This window comes from Homo sapiens, chromosome 4, assembly GCF_000001405.40.
Source record: "Homo sapiens chromosome 4, GRCh38.p14 Primary Assembly".
Lineage (NCBI taxonomy): Eukaryota > Metazoa > Chordata > Mammalia > Primates > Hominidae > Homo > Homo sapiens.
The window spans coordinates 140282982-140304628 of NC_000004.12; the positions used below are offsets into that span (position 1 = coordinate 140282982).

Here is a 21647-nt window from a genome sequence, read left to right on the forward strand (position 1 = left end):
GCAACCCCATTTGGGGTCACCTGCATTTGGGAGATGGAAGGCTGAGGGAGAAGAAGTTTGTTTCTTTTCATTGCCATCAAGATTGGATCTAGCATTCAAGAAACAGGTTTATACATTTTCTTTCTCTGTAAGCATGTCCATCTTATTTTTAAGCTATCCTAGCACAATTTTCATTGAAATCTTCAAAATTAATATTTAACATGAAAAAAATAAATGAGACCTGCCCATTTTACTAAAGGCCAAATTTTCTATACCTTATAAAAATTAGAGAGCAGACCAATAAACCCTAAAGCAAGAAGAGACCAGCTGCTCAATTGATCAAAATGATAGAAGTTCTTCTACATCACCTCTCCCAGCGAGGGTATGACTGGTGTTACTGGTGGGAGTTATATTTTTGTCCTGTCCTCAACATTTCTATGACACAGGAAAGCAAATGGAGTCAAAGTTCTGATTACTTTTTCCTATAACACTACAAGCATTTTTTTTTTAAATGTCCTTCTGAACTCTCCATTCCTTAATTTTGGAATTGCATTGAATGTCATCATGCTATGATTTAAGGAAATCATCTGTAAATCAAAACAATCTTGATGATACAGGTTGGGCTCCCTGTGATTTCTTGACACAAAACAGGTCAGGATCTAAAACTGAATGTGGAAAGAAACATGATTTATATTTTGTCCAATTAGCCCGTATATGACCTTCATGTGAAAGGAACATGGCCTTGGATAAAAAGACTCTCTCATTGATTTATCCCATTTTTAATCAAAGTAAGGTACCAACACATGCAGGATGTAGTAATTCACAGTCTCAAGATTAAATGCTGATAAAAATTTGTAGCAGTTTTAGCATCAAATATATCCTCACCCATAACAAGGAGGTCACTCTATTAGTGAGCAAGTCTGGGCACAAAATGGGGAAGTCCATTGTCCAGTTTGAATAATGTAGTGGAATCTAAAGCTTTGTGGATAAGAATGACTGACCCTGTAATGTCCTCGGTGCATCTGTACTTGAAGTGAGATTAACATAAGCGTGATCTGCAGGAAATAGGTACCCTTTAAAGATACCTTCAGCTGTGTGTGTGAGAGAGAGCAGGGCCACGGGGTGTCGTGGGGTAGGGGGAAAGGAGAGAGGACCTAAGAGACTGAGTGAAGGCAATTTACTTATCAATGTTCAATTTTCCTAAATGTCAACTTGATCTCTCTCTTTTCGTACGTTACAGTTGAGAAATAGGTTTGATTTGAGTCACAGGAAATAATAATTAAAAAAAAAACCCAAACCATTGATTACTCTTAATTTGCTTTGTCAAGAGGCTTTGCTTTACTTGCATTCATAGGAAGGGCAAGTGGAAAGTATTTCGGGGCTATGAAAGAATGCCAGTGTGATGAGGCTGGGAAATTCACGGGCATGGTTCAGAACTCTGCTTCTCAGATCCATTTCATAACAACTTAATATGCTCAAGTATTTTCTGAGGGGCAAGACTGTCCTACAGCATAGATTAAGTGGTCCAATTTTTGCCTCTGGGAGAAGGAAAAAAATATCCAAGTAGGTAGACAACTATTCAAAAGAAACATTGCATAGATGCTTAGCTTTGGCAATGTTCTGATGCTAAGCAGGGGTGGAGAGGGTGGTGCAGAGCTGCGCTCTGAAGCCTGGGGAAGCAGGCTGGGCTGAAAGCTGGGAAGAACTTAGATCAGATGCGATGCTGCCTAATCAAGGTTAAGACTTAGCCTGTTACCAGGGAGAAGAAGAAAGAGCCAGTGAATCTGACTACATAATTGCTATTTCTTTCAAAAAAAAAAAAAAAAAAAAAAGATTGGGAAAAAGGGAGGAAGGAAAGGACAGGCTTAGACTCTGTAGGTTATTTCTGAATAATGGAAATATTTTTAAATTCTTGTTATAATTAATCAAATCTATGTTCTTTGGGAGTAGAAAACTAAATGAATGCATCATTAATGGCTTAGTGTAAAAGTACAATCATGCAAATTTAAGTCTCCTATTCATTCCAATTGAAAACTCTCATGATAATGGTTAACGTCTTGCACTTTCACTGTGTGCCAGCCATTGTGTTAAAAGCTTTCCATGCATTATTTCCCTCACAACAACAGATGAGGAAACTGAGGCTTAGAGAATCGAGGCAAACTCATCACGTCTCAAAGCTTGTATATGAAGCAAACAGGAGTTGGGTCCCAAGGTCTTACTCCAAAGTTGTGTTCGATAGACATCCTGTTGTATTTCTTCCTCTGCCTCCCTGCAATCGACATATCCTTGTAATCAGGAGCAGGTTTTTCTTAAGGAGCCAAAAGAGAGAAGAGATAATTTAGATGATAGGAGGAAAATTGTGGTAGAGCATATCTTTGTCACAAACAGGTCTTTGAAAATACCAGATGACTGAACTAAAATAAATGGGAGAGAGTGTACTTATTTGATGTGGGGTGTGGTTTACTGCTATAGAAAACCAGCAATGGCCAAGGGGCCAGTATCTCAAAGACAAAGACCAATGACAGAGCTGGCAGGACAGGAGCTTTTGCTCACTGTATTCTAGGATGGGGTGGTAAAAAGCTAGGGCATTTTGTAAGCATCTCTAGATTGTAACTTTTGTCTTTTGGATTAAGGAGATGCCAAGAGAAGTAGTACAGAAATAGGGCTTTTCACAATTTCAGGAGATACTTAAGTGAGAATGCAGCATTTCTCTTGTAATACAGGCTAGGTAGGTTAGAAATCTCTTCCCCTTTTCAATGAACCAAGACATTGCTAAGCAGTTAGTATAGTGGCCCTGTGTTTAAGTGACACAGAGGGAAGAGCAACAGATGGTTGGAAACAGACCTGGTTTCCATCCATGCATCTCTATGAAGGCATATCCTCCAATCTCCCAGACTCAGTTTCCTTATCTGCACCACGGTGTTAGAATGCTTACATTGCTGGGCTGGGTGCCGTGGCTCTCGCTTGTAATCCTAGCACTTTGGGTGGCTGAGGCAGGTACATCACCTGAGGTCAGGAGTTTGAGACCAGCCTGGCCAACAAGGCGAAATCCCATCTCTACTAAAAATACAAAAATTAGCCGGATGTGGTGGTGGATGTCTGTAATTCCAGGTGCTCGGGGGCTAAGGCAGGAGAATTGTTTGAACCTGGGAGGTGGAGGTTGCAGTGAGCCAAGATTGAGCCACTGCACTCCAGCCTGGGTGACAGAGCGAGACTCCATCACAAAATAAAAAAAAAAAAGAATGCTTACCTTGCTGGCTTGTTGTGAGGATCAGAGATCACATACAATTGTGGCTGGCATAGAGTAGGTACTTGATAAATGGTAGTTATTACCAGCCCACCGTTTTTACTGGGTAGGTGAAAGAAGGCTAAGCCAAGAAAGGGAAAAATGTTAAAGGCTGAAAAAAAAAAACACAAAAAACAAAAAACAGAGGGAGGGATAGGGTGGTGGCATCTGGCTTGCGAACCCCACTGTTGCCCCTCCCAAACTCTGTCCTTTTAACGAGCCATATGCAGCTTCCAACAGATGAGATCTGGTGTCTGCAAAGACAAAGCAGAGCCAAAAGGCGATGTAACACGGAATTAGAGACTGCTTTTCCCTCTAATGAGCCAGCCTGCTCATTTAAAATGCAGTGCTGTTTGGAGCCCAGACTGGGCGGCATGTGCAGCCGTGTGCCCGCGCCGTTCCTCACGTGCACATGGGTGGCTTGAGCGCATAAGCATGACTGCCAATATCACGGTTGGTTAGCTTGTGGCCCAATACTGGGCGGTGTGGTGTGTGCGGGAGGCGGGGCGCTGGAGCCGCTGTCAAGGACGACTGTGGGAGTCACGCAGCCTCTAAGCTACTTGGGAAATTGACTCTCATCAGCCAATACTCTCAAGATCTTGCTGAGTACAGAGGTACTTTGGGAGGAAAGTGAGAGAAAGAAGAGATACTAGCTGTTCCCCCAGAGGGCTCCCTGACTACCCAGCTGGAAGACCACACACACACCACGAACACATACGACATACACACATCATGTGCACCCACCACACAGACCATACACATACATATACCATATACCACACATGTGTACACACACTCTACACACACATCATATGCACCTGCCACACAGACCATGCACATATAGATACCATAGATCACACATATGTACACACATGCTACACACACATCATGTGCACATGCCACACAGACCATGTACATACATATACCATGTACACACATGCTACACACACACATCATGTGCAAATGCCACACAGACCATGCACATACATACACCATGTACACACATGCTAAATGCGCAAATCATGTGCACATGCCACACAGACCATGCACACATAGATACCATACACCACACATGTTTACACACATACTAAACACACATCATGTGCACATGCCACACAGATCACGAACATGTAGAAACCATAGACCACACATATGTACACACACTACACACACTACACAGACCATGCACATACATATACCATGTACATACATGCTACACACACATCATGTGCACATGCCACATAGACCATGCACATACATCTACCATACACCACACATATGTACACACACTACACACACATCATGTACACATGCCACACAGACCATGCACATGCATATACCATATATCACACATATGTACACACACTACACACATGCATATGCACATGCCACACAGAGTATGCAGGTACATATACCACATGTCACACATATGTACACATACACACACCAAACACATGGACACACGTGCATATCACACACAGGCCACACCATATGTACACCACAAACCACACTCATGTGCATGCACTATACGTACCATGCATGTAAACATACATACTCTATACATATACCACACACATAGACACACACTATGCACATAACTATGACACACAGACCACAGACATATGCATGCACACATATCACACACCACATACACACAACATATGTGCACATACTACCTGCACCACATATGTGTGTGGGCACATGCATACCACACAGAGTGCACACATACCACATGAACACATACTACATGCACCACACATGTACATACACCCCACACTTTACACACATACCACACACATATGCCACATACAACACATATATACATATCTATATTTATCACACACATATGCACATATCAACCCCATGCTGTACTCATGCACCACACACAGCACACACTTTTATGTATAGATACCACATAGATATACTACACATGCATAAAAATGACCTACACCACACATCACACATGCACACCCCATGTACATGCATGTGTCACACCCACAATTCTATACATACTATGTACACGTAGACAAACACATCATATAAATACATACCTCCTACAGATCACACATATACACCTACATAAATATTACATGTCACACAAATATATATACTGCACTTACAGTGCACACTTGTATACACATGCAAACACCATGCAAATACCCCACACAAAACACACACAGGTACACATCACACATGTACACATCACACACATAACGCAATCCTATACACTACACACATAAGTACACACCACAAACACTACACACATACACAAATCCTCCTATGCACACACACACATATCCGTACCACAAACATATATACACATGTACCACCCATACCACTCACATATCACACATCACATACACACACATCATACACATACATAACACCAAGTATATACACACAAAACACCACACAGCACACATGTATATATACCACATATACATACATGTGCCCCAACACCCTACACACACATATACAAGTTACAGACATGTACACACACCACACACATCACCCTCATGCACATACCCCCTACGCATACCACACATGTTCACACAGTACACGTAAATACCCACATACTACCCACATATATCACAAATGTCTATATACCCCTCATACAAAACACACCCCCATACCACATACATACACAGCTCCACCATATATGCATACCACACATACATCACATACATACACATGCCACACACCACATACCTGATCACACAACACACACAATGCACACACATGCAGAAATCTCTTCCATGTCCACACACATGACACACACACTCACTACTACACAACATACATGACCTCACACACAGACCATTAACACAGATGCTAGGAGACACAAATGTGTCTTGCTATGTCCCCTTGCAAAAGTGTACTCCTTTGGGGACCAGAACTCTAACATTGCAGAGCCCAGAGTTGTGTGGCAGGAAATACCAACTGAACCAGTAGTCATAGAGAGTGATATTAAGGAGGGTCACTCCTGCTTGTACTTTTCCCACTGGGACACAACACCACAAAGCAGCCTCCGAATTAATGCACACACTGCGTCCTAGAGAATGATGTCCCATCTCCTCTGAGCCAGCATATCAGCCGCCCTTTTCAAGTGAGTTTTCGGGATTTCAAGGCTGGCTGCTTTTGGATGGTGTGACAGGTGATAGAGTGAGTGTGTCCCATGGCTCCACCCCCTCATTTCCTTCACTGTGAAGTGGGTCTCCTGTTGGATGCTGTATTACTTGAGATGTTAAGACTGTGGATCAGGGATACTGTAAACCCTTGGAGAGTGGTGCTGGCTGAGGCTCTGTGGGCAGACAGGGCAAATTCGTTTTGAGATTGGTACCCATACCTGTGAACTGCTGACTGTTCCAGGATGGCAGGGACCCAGTGTAAGTGACTTGTCACCAAATGGTCCATTGGGCTCCTTAAGAACTAGTGCCAACAGGTTGTGCATTCAAAGGCAGCAGTATCCAGATCAGCCTTTTCAAGTGGAAGCCAGCAGTTTTGGGTCCATACACAGCCTCCATCTCTGTCCCTGTGGCGATTCCATTCATGTGCTTATCCTGCCAGCTCAGAGAAAGCTGATAACAAAGACTGGCTAATAGCAGCTGGCTGCATCATTTTGTCTACTTGGTTGTTCAGTACCTCTTCTGTGAGGATTATAAGTAACACCCATTACTTTTAGTGGGTATTAAAGTGTGGTGCAGCAATCTTGACACTTAATGCTTAATGCTATATGTCCATTGACATGCCTCTACCCCAGGACTCCTCACCAATCTTTCAGTGTTTTTACTCCCAGGCTTCTGGCCAGCCCAGAGTCTCTTCTGTAATGTAGCCACTGCATGTGCAGGTGTCACCTAGCATTTTTTTGCATTGCTGTATAGGAATGAGAGCCCAGGGAACTGGTGTAAGAAAATGCTGATACTCTGGCTGCTGCAATTGTGCTGAATAATAAAGTTCTTTGTCTCTGACCTTAAATCTTCTGCCAGCAGCCATACAACAGTGTCAGGATAACTTGTTAGCTTACAGGCAGGGTAAAATCTCAGACCCTTCACAGATCATAAACCAACCTTGGGCTTTCTCCTCTTTCTTTCTTCAGCTGGTCACTTGGGACACTCATTTGACAAGAGGTAAGAGCTGGGGATAGTGGATGGAATTGTGGAGGGTGGGCTCCCTGTTCATGCAACTTCCCCCATGCCTTTGGTTCCACTCATTTCCATCTTACAATAGACTACTGCTGAGCCTATGTGACCTCATGAATTGGCAGTTTCAAAAGAACCTGGATTGAGTAGGGCGCAGTGGCTCATGCCTGTATTCCCAGCACTTGGGGAAGCTGAGGTGGGCAGATCACCTGAGGCCAGGAGTTCGACACCAACCTGGCCAACATGGTGAAACCCCATCTCTACTAAAAATACAAAAATTAGCCAGGCATGGTGGCGTGTGCCTGTAGTCTTAGCTACTTGGGAGGCTGAGGCGGGAGAATCACTTGAACCCAGGAGGTGAAGGTTGCAGTGAGCTGAGGTCGTGCTGCTGCACTCCAGCCTGGGAAACATTGAGTGAGACTCTGTCTCAAAAACAAACAAACAAACAAACGAACAAACCCCACATCACAGTGGACAGTCTGTATGCATGGTCACTTGATGTTCCATGGTCCAGCATTCCATTCTAAGCATTCTGTGCTCAGAAACATGTGGGGGCTTTCTCAAAAAGCATATAATAATTTTGCTATAGATGGCATAACCTTGTTCCAGAACCCCAGAAGCCTGCATTATTGTTTTCTCACTGGGAACTTGCCATAAACTCCACACTATATCTTTTTTCTAATATTGGCTCTCCCAACACAACAGGGCTTGCTGGACCTTATGGCCTGAGTGGCAGGGCAAGCCTGGATCTGCTGCAGAGCCCATTCTTGCTCCTGGGCTTTCTGAAAGCTGGCAGTCTTCTGAGTCTCCCAATATTCTTAAGTGTGGTATTGGTAGGTATGAAACGTGCTATCTCCAAAAGAAGCCGGGAGGCCTGTCAGGTGCTATGCTTCCTTTTTTTGTGATAGGGGCTGCAAGACATTTGTCTTTTACTTTAGAGATTATATCCTGGAGTCCTAAAGACTTCACGTGGTGGCAGCCGCCTGGCTCTTCATATACCTTACCTTCTGCAGGGCATGTGTCTTCCCAAGCCCTCTGGTGTATAGCAACCTCTTGTCATCTTGCCCAGTCAGCATGATGTCATCATTGTAATGGATCCATATGCCATTCTGCAGGATGTCCACAAGGTCCAGGTCTCCTGGGACTGTATTATGGCAGAGGGTGAGTGAGTTTGAAAAGCAACAGAACAAAAAAGAATTATAATCAATATCCTTTCTCGGTCACCAAATCAATGACCATGTACCATGTACCTGACGCTTATTAATATGTTCTGGGAATAAAATCACATCAGGCACTGCAGCTTTGATCAGGATTACTGCTTGGGTAAGCCTTCAGTAGGCAACGGTCATTCTCCAGGATCCATCTGATTTCTCAGCTCTATTGGGGGGGCTGTGATAATACTGCAGGTCTCCAGGTATCAATGCCAGCTCAGACCTTGTGTCTGATCATCCTCAAAATATCTGATGAATTTCCTTTCCCCAGTGTATGTAGTTTATTTAAGAAAGGACTAGAGAACTCATTATAGTTTATGCTTGCCATGGTTTTATAGTGTCATTCTACCTATGGATCCTGCCACCTTTTAGGTAAATGGGGCCCAGGTCTGAAAATCTCAGACCTGGGAAATAGGTGAATGATGATGACTGTTTATTGGAACGACCACCCTCTGCCTCCTGCTCCTCTGTTCCTGCCTTCTTTTGATTGTGGCAGCATCCTCATTGACTGACCATCTCTGTTGCCCCCCATCTTATGTTCAACCACCTTGATCACGCATGCTCAAAATCTGCTTCCAGCGGTACTCTTCTGGTTTTTTTTTTTTTTTTTGAGACAGGGTCTTTCTCTGTCACCCAGGCTGGAGTGCAGTAGCATGATCTTGGCTCACTGCAAACTTTGCCTCCTGGATTCAAGTGATTCTCGTGCCTCACCCTCCCAAGTTGCTGGGGCTACAGGTGCGTGCCACCATGCCCAGCTAATTTTTGTATATTTAGTAGAGACAGGGTTTTGTCATGTTAGCTAGGCTGGTCTTGAACTCCTGATGTCAAGTGATCCACCCACCTTGGACTCCCAGAGTGCTGGGATTACAGGCATGAGCCACTGAACCTGACTGGTACTCTTCTGGTTCTTGATGGCTTATGCTAGCTAATTCTCACAGCTCCATTGGGATATAATCTCCTTTTTCCTTATGAAACCCAACATATTCCTGACTGAAGTATGCTGAAATTTCATCTTAGTTATTGGCCTGGAAGCCAGAATAAGAGATGGGACAATTCCTGAGGGGACCACCTGTTACCTTGCCGAGGAGGGGACGTTGCTGTATCTTTCTGAATTGGAAAAATTCTAGTTCTTATTCTGGGGGAGCCACCTCTGAAAGCTCTGAGGCTTCAGAGGAATCTAAAGCAACAAAGCCCTTGGGACCATCCACCCAGATGTACCCATCTCAGTTTTTAGGGTCTCATGTTTCCCCAACTGGGACCCTGATTTCATAGGAGATCTGAGTTGGTTTAAGCATCACTGGGGCTTTGAAACTTTAATTATCAAATTCTGTGTTGGCAGCTCAGCTGTGTCTGCTCTTCCAGTGCAGGAGAGAAGAGGCTTCCTATAAACTACCAGCAAGGCCCTCTGGCTCCCACTCTTAGCTTTTATCTGTATGTCAACTGCTCTTGGTTTCTCACGATTCCCCTGTAGAACACTTGTACCACTTAGTAGCAGCCAGCAAACTCCACTGTACGTGTAGCTCATGTGTTCCCCCCTATATCTTTCAGAAGTCTGAATCATTGCACATGCAAAGCCATTCTCCCCCAACAGAATGTTTTCTCACATGAAATCTTAAACAACTGGGCTGCCACTAGGTGCCAGGGAATAACCATACCCCACATACCACTCAAGATGGGCTCCTCCTTGTCAGGGAGGGTCTGAGTAACCCAGTCGCAAAGGCTTATCTTTACTGCCTGTTTCCTCACGTCACTCCTGGTGTGTCTTGTGTCTTCTGAGCAGGGCACGCCAAGACAGGATTGGAGGTGTAAGCTATTTGTTGAGGTAAACTAAAAGAATAAGAGAGGAGCAGGAGTTGTCAGAGAGTCTTGAGATGGAAATGCCGGTCTGACACCTACTAAGAAGAGAGGGAAAGAAGGATTGGATAGGAAGAAAGGAAGGATTGCAATGGACCACAGTGCAGTTTTAGGTAAGTCTTGGCCAGGCCAATGGGAAGACCCAAAGCCATAGTTGCTGAGTAGAGAATTCCACGCCAGGCAGGAATGGATAGGTCCAGTACACCTACCATTCCCTGTCATTGGCTGGAAGCTCTCCAGAGAACCCCACAGTGTATCCAAAGGTGCAGCAGCTGAGGGCTGTCAATCAGCCATTGCCTCCCAGCAGATCCCCTTAAAAGGAGATCTGAGTGATCCACTTCCATGGCCACTATGGTGATGGAACACCCCCATGTATAGGATTCATGGAGGCAGCCATCAAGGGGAGAGTAAAGCAGAGCCAGTGACTGGGGGCTCTTCAGAAAGTAAGGGGAAGTTGTCCAGGCAGCAAAAGCTTAGGGTGAGGGTTCCCAGAAGCCAACTTTTAACTTAGCTTTCCCCATTCAGCCATAACTTTTTTACTCCTTTGCTAAGATGGAAAGAAGTTAAAGAAGGGCCTTTGGGTCCAAAACACATTAAAAAACAAAATACAGAGACACTTGTAACCAGGGCCTAAACCCAACACTGGCAGGTGTGGTAACTACCATGGCATCCAAAGTACCGAGGCATGCTGAGAGTGGCAGCCTCAGGGACATCCCAGGTATGTCAGCCCACATCACTCACTTGGAATGCCATTTCCCTTCAACTTCCAGTGAGTCTCTCCAATGATGGACAGGAATGTGTGGAAGCAGAATAAGGTAGTGTCACTACCAAGGAAAGATATTGAGGAGGGGACAGTAACCTGCATAATAATTCTCAGCTTACTTCCCATGGAAGTACCGGATGCCACTGTGGAAATTAAGTGATTCCTGATTTAAGACATTATTGCTTCAGGGTGTGCCTAAGCCTGAAAGTCCCCTACATGCATGAATGCAATTCTCTATCTAAATACCCAATTCATTGTCAGGAAAAAATGGGCCCTAGAGAGTTTTTGTGGGTACAAACAATTGTACCCAGCTGACCAACCAACTAAATTCTCCTATTCAAAGACTTGGAGGAAATGAGTCCAAATATTGACAGCAGAAAATTTTAGTGACCCGTGCTCTGTTTCTTGGGCTAGTGGAGACCATTAAGGATTATGCTCCTCTCTAGGCCCACATCTGGCCACTATGTTTCAAGTTCTAGGTTCATGGGATTTCAAGGTTAGAAAGGACCACATAAACCGTGCCGCCCAATCCACCATAAGCTGAAATGTTGATGACACTGTCATGGAGAGGTACAGACCTGATGACATCACATTTGCTTCCCTTTCTGCTGACCTGGAAACAGCTAAAAGTAGCTACTTGTCCATGCCCTGGCTCTTATAACTATTTCTTCTCCAAGGTTTTCTGTGTCCAAATGTCTGGACCCTGTGATTTGAGGCTTTACACATTGTGCATAAGTGTAGTTATCATAATAAATTTGAAATTAAACCCCATACCAGCAATCAGCTGGTATACAGCTTAGGAAATAGCCACACACCAGTTAAATAAAGCACAGTTAGGAAGCATATCTTCTGTCAAGTAACCATGCAATTAATTTCAAAGTAAAAAATAATTGGATTATCTGTGTCATGGTTTTCTTCATTAGTGTAGATAATTGGGAGATTTTAGTAGTATATTTCCTTCCTTCTTGAAGAAAATGCTTATGATATAATGATGGGGATCCCTCCCTTTCAGGTTTACACTTGGTGGGAGTTTGTAGGAGCTTACATCTGATATCTTTGGTCTATAGGTAAGGGGTAAAATAACAGAAAAGGAACCATGGTTGCCTGGACCATGGGTTAAAAAAAAAATCTCAGAAGGCCCATCAGCACACCCCACCACTCCATGTGAATGTGACCTCTGCCATACTTGGCCATGTGGAGGTTGGAGCCACACAGGGGCGTGCTTTCTAGAAGCCAATTGTTAGAGTTGGGCTGGCCAAGTGGGATCTGACAATGGAGTAACAGAATAAATCCAGGCAGGATAGCTCCTGGGGGCAAGGGCTGAAAGACAGAAAGAACAGCAAGGAGAGAAGTGAGACGGCGTGGCCCCGCCTGCTGGCTGGGCTCCGGCTCAGGACAGTTTCTTAAGTAGCGTCACAAGACCACCTGCATGAAAATCACCTGGAGCGAAGGGCGCGGTGGCTCACGCCTGTAATCCCAGCACTTTGGGAGGCCGAGGTGGGCGGATCACGAGGTCAGGAGATCGAGACCACGATGAAACCCCGTCTCTACTAAAAATACAAAAAAAATTAGCCGGGCGCGGTGGCGGGCGCCTGTAGTCCCAGCTGCTGGGGAGGCTGAGGCAGGAGAATGGCGTGAACCCGGGAGGCGGAGCTTGCAGTGAGCCAAGATCGCTCCACTGCACTCCAGCCTGGGCGACAGAGCGAGACTCCGTCTCAAAAAAAAAAAAAAAAAGAAAGAAAGAAAAAAAAAAAGAAAATCACCTGGAGCTTATAAAGCTGCAGGTGCCTGGGTCCCTGTCACAGACCTATTTACTCAGAATCTGTGGGAACCAGGCCCAGGAATCTGCATTTTTTAAAAGTTCCCTGGATGATTGTTATGAGAATGAAGATTTCAGACTCACTGCTCCAGGCACGTTGTGGCAGGGTCGATCCACATGCCTAGGTGTGAATCATTATCTGGTTGTGACAGGCGCATCACAGAGGGGTCTTCACAGCCCCCACTGGCATTAATATTCACAAGGATCAAATCCAAAATGGATTTAATGAGCATGTTCTTCGTGAGAGATGCTGTTAGGAAACTCCAAACCAGCAATGGGCAAAATTTCTGAAGGCAGAAAGCCTGAAAATAAGCCACAGTTTATGTTTTCAGAACTACTAAGGGTGGAGCGGCTGTCTTTTCTAGCTGGATGTGCTGAATAAGAACCGTGCAAAACAAATACAGTTCCCCAGGGGCGCCGTGCATGATTTATTTCCAGATTTAATGAATGGCCACGTGCCTGGGTTAGTGGAAAATAACCCACAGACTGACTCATCCCTGAAAAGTGCAGTGGAAAAGCCTCTCTCGCTGATGCCATTGAAGGACACTGACCCATTTCCACATCCTAATCTCCTGGTAAACCGGGTGACATGGCGGGTGAACGAGGTATGCAGGCTGCCTGCCTTGCCTCTGAGAACACAGTTTCTCGACATCCCCTGAAATGTCTATTGATCTGAGCATGTAGCTGATGTCAACACTGATTGTCTGAAGAGAGGCTACTCAATATCACAAGGTCACGACAAGAAAAAAAAAAACCTAATAATTCACTATCCCTGAACACAAAAGACTGGGCGTTGTTTTCTTCCATCTTAACAGTATCTTTCTGTGGCTGCTGAGTGACTCTCCTCCTGTCACTGCCCTTGCTGTGGGATTTAGGTCTTACATTCGCTTTTATTTACCTATTTCTCTCCTGGCTTAACTTTTCAGATTCATGTAAGAGCAAACACCTGCTTTATATGCTCTGTCCCTGCTGCAGCCTCATCGCACAAAAGGCTGATTTAACTCCTCAACAGAAAGCCCTAATTTCACAAGCCCTGGGACTTCTCTGAATCACATTTTCTGCCCTAAGTTAGCAGCACCATTTCTCCCATGAAATAATGTTTACTGGTGCTTAATTGATTGAATTGGCACCTGCCTTGCAGGTGTACTCTTGGGCTTCATGAATTTGCTGCCGTTTGCAAGGTCTTTGGAGAGGCGCGGAGGGAAAATGCCGGAGAGGAGAGCATTCTGGTGACTGTGGGGGGGGGGGCACTGTTGTCAGTATCTGCTGCCGGAGCCCACGCAGCACTTAGAGATGAGTCACACAAAGCACTGCACCTCCCCAGGAAGGGCGGCCACCTCGAGGAGAAGCAGGTAGTTTTTCATAACACAGAGTTGGCTCTATCCTTATCTCTGGCTACTCCTACTCAAAATTATAAGGTAGACAAAGTTTGTGTTCAGAGCTACCACTCTTCATTTTTTGCATGGTATTTGGTCCTTTGATTCATTCATTCTCTCCTGCCCTCCCACACCTTTCCTTCCTCTCCATCCTCTTTCTCCCTCCTTCCCTTGTGTAGGAAAAACATTTCTTGATTGCACCCTGCTGTCAAAAAGCATAGGATAAACTGATTTATTAATACATCAAGGAATAAGTGACTAATAAGGTGAACATTACTGAATAGTATGTGTATGATCAGAGGAAAATTTTAAATCAAAGGAAAAAAACAATATGATGGTGAAAATTCAAACACCATCACAGAGGTGCAGGAGACAGTGGGGGGAGGGAGGCTCTCCATTGTTCCTGAAATTACAAGACTCGTTAACTTCCTTCTTGCCTTTTCTTTAAGGTTAATAGAAACCCCCGTTTCTTGGATCACACGTCACAGGTATCAATTTCATTCCACATATTCAGATGTGTCTGAAACATAATTCTTTGTTTCCCTTTCTTTCTTTTTAAGCCTCCATTCCTCTGGGGTTGTAGAAATTCAATCTAAATTAATTTGGCTTATCTCCCCAGCCTCCCCCAGCCCCTTTCCTTGGGGTTGCATTTACATTTGGAGGCTTAGGCAGTGCCAGGTATTGGGAAGGGGACATCTGGTTCTCGGGATCGTTCGCCATCCATGCTGGCCTCCCCGGAGGTGTCCACCTTGCCATCTGGTCTTCAGTTATTGGTTCACCAGGTGGCTGCTGAGTCGTCCCTGGTTCCTGACCATGGGCTCTTCGCATCCAGCTCTCTCTCTCAGCTACTTCCAGGACTCTCCTGGGCACAAAGGTGTTATCTGTTTCTGTCACAGAATTCTGGGCCTCAGAAATCTCCAAGAGACTGTCCAAAAGCCTTTCTTATTTCTTTGCCACTCGTGTGATCATACCAGTGCCTCACACTAAGTTGGCACACAAGCATACCATTATTCTGTGGGATCATGTTGCTTTCCTGGGCTCCAGCTGGGAAACTGAATGCAAGTTCCTTCCTTCTGCAGGCAGAACCAACCAAGGTGGGTAAGGAGGACATCTGTCATTTCTCCCCATGCCCGTGCCAGGCTAAGCTCTGGAAAGGAGGCTCTGGAATGTTTCTTGGGGACCCACCAGCCTCTGAGTTCTTGGGGACCCACCAGCCTCTGAGTTCTTTCTTCCAGCTCCCTTCCTTCCTGTGGCCAATCAGTGACTCCTCTTTTCTCTAACTTTTTGCTGTGTTATCTTTTCTTGAAGCCAAAAATGTGAAGTGACTGAATAGAGGGATGACCCAAGGGATGGAAGATAAAAGGTGGACAAGAACTGATTTCTTAAAATTTTAATTAATAAATTAATTCATTATTATTATTTTCTGAGACAGGGCTTTACTCTGTCACCCAGGCTGGAATGCAGTGGCACGATCATGGTTCACTGCAGCCTCGTCCTCCTGGGGCCAAGCGATCCTCCCACTTCAGCCTCCTGAGTAGCTGAGACCACAGGCACACACTGAAATGCCTGGCTAATTTTTTCTATTTTTTTGTGGAGACAGGGTCTCACTATGTTGCCCAGGCTGGTCTCAAACTCCTAGCCTTGGGCAATCCTCTCACCTCAGCCTCCCAAAGCTCTGGGATTACAGGCATGAGCCACCATGTCCAGCTTTTTAAAAAAATTTTTATTTTTTGTAGGTACATAGTAGGTGCGTATATTTATGGGTTACGTGAGAAATTTTAATGTAGGCATGCAATACATAATAATCAAGCAATTGATTTCATTTTAAAAATCCAGCAAACTGAAGAACACTGTGCTAGCCATTGTGAGGGATGTAAAGTGTGGTAAAGCATAGGCCCTGCTTGTGAGAAACATACACAGAAATGTAGTGCTAAATGCCAACTCAGAAGTCATATGAATTCATAAGGAAAGAAAAATCAGTTCAGAATTACCCTCACACTTTACCATTCTTTTCTTTTTTCAATTTTTTTCTTTTAAAGAATTGGGACTGTTCAGCTGCCAGTGGGAATTTCTTAAAGTTAGAAGCTAAATAGAACACTAGTCAGAGTCTATATCAACAAATGTTGCTATAGCTCAAATCTGTGATTCAACTGGAGATATCAAAGCTTTCCCATGGAATTTACTTACTTTGAGCAGTACTGGATACAAACGAATTCTAAGACAACTAAAGCATTTGTACACCCCTCCCCCATTAGAATTGTAACGTCGTTTGTCTTTTTATTATTTATGAGACTTTATTTCTAATATTAAAAATTTAGAGCAGTAGTCACACAATTTGGGGACTAATGTGGAAGGCAATGCTTGTAGTAGTGAGGGTGGGCAGGGCTGGCTGCTGCTATCATAGCCCAGTGTCTCAGTGCCTTAGCACAACGATGCTTATTTTCCACCCACTTCACAGTCCTTTGTTCTCCACAGTCACCTGTGGCCCACCCTCTGCCTTTAAAGCATGGCTGCCAGGTTCACCCTGGGTATGAACACTAAGCCCACTAATGGGGGTAAGAGAGTGTGCAAAATCACATCACAGTCTTATAGGCCCAGCTTTGAGGTAATACACATTGTTCCTTCTCATTTTCAGTGGCCAGAACTCACTCATATGGCTCATCTAATTGAAGGGAGCTGGGAAATCTCATTGGCTGTGGGTCCCGGAGACAAAGGCCGCAGGTTTGATGAGCACATGGCATCATCCCCGCTTTATTTGTGAGCAAAATTCTCTAGCTGCATAAGCCTCCCAGTGATTAAAGCTTTGCTAGCAAAGAACCAGAATTGTTTCATATCATAAAGAGTGTCAGGGAGATATGGCGCTTCCCTCTGGCCTCCCTCACTTCCTCGCTCCCCTTCCTGATCTCAGTCTGCCCTGCTCAGGAGGATGGATCAGCAAGGCTAGAGCCTGCATCTGCACACTCACGGGCAGCCTTACAGGGTTCTTAGGAAAGCTGAGGCAATAGCAGTCACAGCTAGGCTTCTCCCCCAGGTACTCCCCAGTGCCTGGCCTGTGCTGATGACAGCACGTGAGTCATCAGCACTAAAGAATGCCAGCTTCATCACTGGAAGTTGGCAGATTCTCAGAACAGCACTGGAGAGAAAGCTGGGTGTCTCTGCTGGGCATTTGGGGTGAAGAAGGAACTAAAACCTTCCGAGTGTTTGAATGGAGGCTGTCTGTGCCAGGGAAGTGTTTTGGTCTCTCTTGTATTGTTCAAGCCAAGCCCAGGCCCAGGAAAGCACTCACTTTGTTGATTGAAAGGGAATCCTTCTGAGACAGAAAATGTCAACAGTGCTGGTGGGAATTCTGCATCTGCTCTTTAATGTCTAAGTGGTTTTAAGGAAATGGATGAACCTGGTGGTTTCAGATGAAATATTATTTCCTGCCTTCAAGTACAACATGTGTGTATATGCAAGGCAGCCTTCTTCTGCAATGAGTCTCAGGACAGAGGGCTGGCACCTCCTCAATGGCAGTGACATTGATATCCATGGATCAAGTGTGAGGAGCTGGTTGGTTTAGGCAGCCATCTTCTTAACATGCCTCAAAAAATGGGAGCCCAAAGAAGGGACCTTTGCCTCAGTGAGCCAAGCTTATAACAAAGGAGCGAAGGTTGTCAGCTCATGGTCCCAGGAGAAAGGCAGTGGTCACCCAAGAATGGGAGTGGTGGATGGAGAGTGATAGAAAGCTAACCTAGGATTTCAGATGGAGGCATGGTTGAAGTCCTAGGATGGCAGGATGAGTATCTGAGGCGGAATGTACAAGTGAAGGAACTCTGTTGTGCTTTCAGTTTTACTTCTAGTAAGTTCTAAACCAGTAAGGTGTTAGATTTTCTGTTCCGGGGTCTTTCAGCAACAAAACATGATCTGTCTTCAACTGATCTCTGTGGATTTAGGGGGAATTAGGTATATGAAATTTGAAAGTCTCTTCCCTCTGACACTTATATTCATAAGATGTACAAATATTAATTCCAACACACTCTTCACTGCTACATATAATTTCACAACCTTTTTATTCACCATAGAGGGTCAGGCTCTTAATTGCAGTATTCACCCCATAGATGGCAGTGGTACCAGATGCTGGCTCCAGAGATTCATGCTGAGGTGTCTTCCAGAACATTGTCACCAGCAACGTTCTGGACCTGCTGGAGTGAGGTCAGGATTCTGAAAACTTTCTTCTTGTAGGATTCTTGATCAGTCTTGCCTGGCTTAGAAAATCAGACGAGAGTCTGGGTCTCAGCTGTGAAGTTACAGATGGAGGCATGGCTGAACGTGCATGTACTCAAAGTTTACATTTTCCACGCACTGTTTCCCTGCCATGGAATTACACAATCACTTTTTCTGAGGATTTATGTTTCTTTCTAAAAACTATTATTCTTTTTATTGTTTGTTTGTTTGTTTTTTGGAAACAAGTTCTCGCTCTGTTGCCCCGGCTGGAGTACGGTGGTACAATCTTGGCTCATTGCAGCCTTGCCCTCCCAGGCTCAAGTGATTCTCCCATCTTAGCCTCCCAAAAGTAGCTGGGACCACAGGCGCATGCCACCACACTGGACTAATTTTTGTATTTTTTGCATAGACAGGGTTTCGCCATGTTACCCAGGCTGGTCTCAAACTCCTGGGCTCAAGTGATTGGCCTCCCTGGGCCTCCCAAGGTGCTGGGATTACAGGCATGAGCCACAGCGCCCAGCCAGGATTTATATTTCTAAAAAGAAGCCTAATTGCCAAAAGCACAAGGAACATGCGTTTGATTTCTCACGTAATGATTTGAGTCAGCTTTTTTTTTCAGATTATAAAACTGTGAGATAAGCTCATTGCATCTCCTGTCCACAGAAAATCAAAGGGGTCTTTGTCTTTTCATTCTGCCTGCGCTCAACAATGATTTATTGTTGAAGACCTACTACAGACCCAGGGATAAATTATACAGAGAAGGAGAACCTTGTTGCCAAAAAGTATTGAGGATATAGTGATTTGAGATTCTTACCTTCAAAGAAGAGTTGAAGGAATTGAAGAAATGATCTGGAATTATGGATTTGATTTTTGGATGAACACTGAACTATTGTAAGACTTGGTAGAGTTAGTTGACAATCTGAGGCTTTCGTTCTCCCATTCATACATGAAACTTTAGGTAAGATGTACTAGAAACAAGCCAGATACTATTTCTAGTCCTGAAGTCATCCTGAAAGGTATCTTCAGAATGGATGTCATTCTCAATGATAATCACGTGATTTGCTAAGATTAGAAGAGGAAATAAATCAGCTAAGCAAGGCTTATGTCATTCAGAAGAGACCAAAGTGAATATCAAGAACATTATCAAGGTAGGTGTTCCTATCCACGTATAGTGTTGTAAGCCAGTAACAAAAGTAGACTGTAGACGTAGTTACCCAGCTGAATATTTAAATGTATCCTTATTTGACTGTGCAATCACACAGCCAAATATATTCAAGGGCGGTTTCTTTTATAAGAAAAAAAAAGTAAATGAAATGCTCAATGATGACATTAGCTCAATTTTATGTTTGAAAAATTTACTTGCACCCAAGTGAGAAAATACAAAATTAAAGTTCTCACTGCAACAACAATGGACCCTACTAACAAGGAGAGGCTGTGCCACACATGCTGGGACTACATGGGATGTGGGTCCTGAAATCTAGACCAGACAATTGGCTGCAACTTTATTATTGCCCTTCACCTAGAGCTTAAAAAAAAAGCTTTCTTTAGGGGGTTATGCAAAGAGCCTTTATCTTGATAGTTACACCCAGCAGTACATCTTGGATGGCACCAACTGAAGGGTTTACAGAAAAAAAATTATTATTTGTTGCGTGTTCTGGTACTGGCTAGATGCATGTATGAATGTTACCCATGAATAATTTTATCTTTCTTTATCTCCTACCTCTGGCCTACCAAGACAACCCCATCAATTCAAAAAGATGAGACAATGCCTATATGAGAGTGGGAAAATGGGACCTCAGGCCCTGTGGCCCTGCTGCCAACCTTGCTTGGTTATTGGAGCCCAGGGGTGACTACAGAAGCCCCTGACCCTGGTGACACTCAACACTTTTCAGTGCCCATGGCTAGGATCCTGATCTATCTCTTTCCTTTATAGCTATCTAGTGCCTTGGGAATGTCTGGCATAGCTTTTCCACATCCAAATCAGCCTAGAAAAGCCCAGGTTCCTCTGTCCTTTCTATAGAAAGTTCTGAGTTCCTCAGTTCAAAGTTCTGAGTTCCTCAGTTCAGCTGGAGCTATGGGAACAATACTGGGAACTCTTACTTCCTTTGGGAAACGCCTGTGCAAATCCAGGTATAGGGAAATGGAGCTCAGTATAGTGGAACAGAGTTTCAGGGCTGTTCACTTAGAATTGCTCTGATGTGGCTTAGTCCCTTCCCACTATTTTCTGTTGCACACTTTAGGGATATAGATGATAAAGAAAACAAGCATTGCCGGTGCCACCTCCGTTACCTACATACGATTTGCTCATTTAATCATTTATTCAACAAATTCTAATGGAAAGTTTATTATTGTGCTGTGCTAGCCTCTTTGGGACATTCAAAGTTGATTAAGACATGCTGCATACCCTAAACGGAGTTCATTGTATCATTTGAGAGATGACACACATACAACTATCCATCACATCAGCTAGAAGTGAAGAGTGGTGCTTAGGGAGAAACCTAAGCACCATGTTTTTCAGATTTAAGGGGAGACTTCAGAAAGAGAGTGATAGTTCAGCTAAGCCTGGAAAGGGAAGCATATGGCGCTGGGCATGGATAACTACAAGACACTGGTGACAGGCTGACAGTAGATCAAGAGCAAAAACAGGGTTTTGTTGTTGTTGTTTTGTTTTGTTTTGCAGGGAGTGGGAGGGTGAGGTAGCAGGTAGGAGGTCGGGGAGAGATATGGAGATATTGCCACTGATTCTGGACATGTTGATTTTGAAATTCTAGTTAGATATCCTGGTAGGACTTTCCTGCAGGCCAAAAAACAAAACAAAACAAACCACAAAAATAAAAGACAGCAGAGTCTTGAGAAATTTTAAACTTGGGATTATACATCTGCACAAAGAGGCCTGTTGCGATATTGGATGTTGCCTAGGAACTGGGGCTAAGAACTACAGTGAAGCAATTAACACTCTAAGCAACAGATACTAATGTCTTCATTACTTGCAGGCAGCCCATATACCAGTACCCAGC

At 44.2% G+C, this 21647-nt stretch overlaps 1 protein-coding gene and 2 long non-coding RNA genes across 3 annotated transcripts in view; 1 reads left to right on the forward strand and 2 right to left on the reverse strand.

Moving 5' to 3' along the window:
• The window catches only part of SCOC (short coiled-coil protein), a 128421-nt gene that overhangs the window by 25674 nt on the left and 81100 nt on the right, over positions 1-21647 (forward strand). The window lies entirely within an intron of this gene.
• The window catches only part of SCOC-AS1 (SCOC antisense RNA 1), an 89667-nt gene continuing 68764 nt past the window's right edge, over positions 745-21647 (reverse strand). The window contains exons 3-5 of the long non-coding RNA NR_033939.1: positions 10280-10442; positions 8409-8548; positions 745-2287 (exon numbers count right to left, since the gene is read on the reverse strand). This is a non-coding gene — a long non-coding RNA (SCOC antisense RNA 1). The remainder of the gene's footprint in view (positions 2288-8408; positions 8549-10279; positions 10443-21647) is intronic.
• Positions 18460-20654, reverse strand: LOC124900785 (uncharacterized). Its single transcript, XR_007058281.1, has 3 exons — positions 20351-20654; positions 19445-19692; positions 18460-18703 (listed from the first exon to the last, which is right to left on the reverse strand). It is a non-coding gene; the product is annotated as an uncharacterized LOC124900785 (long non-coding RNA).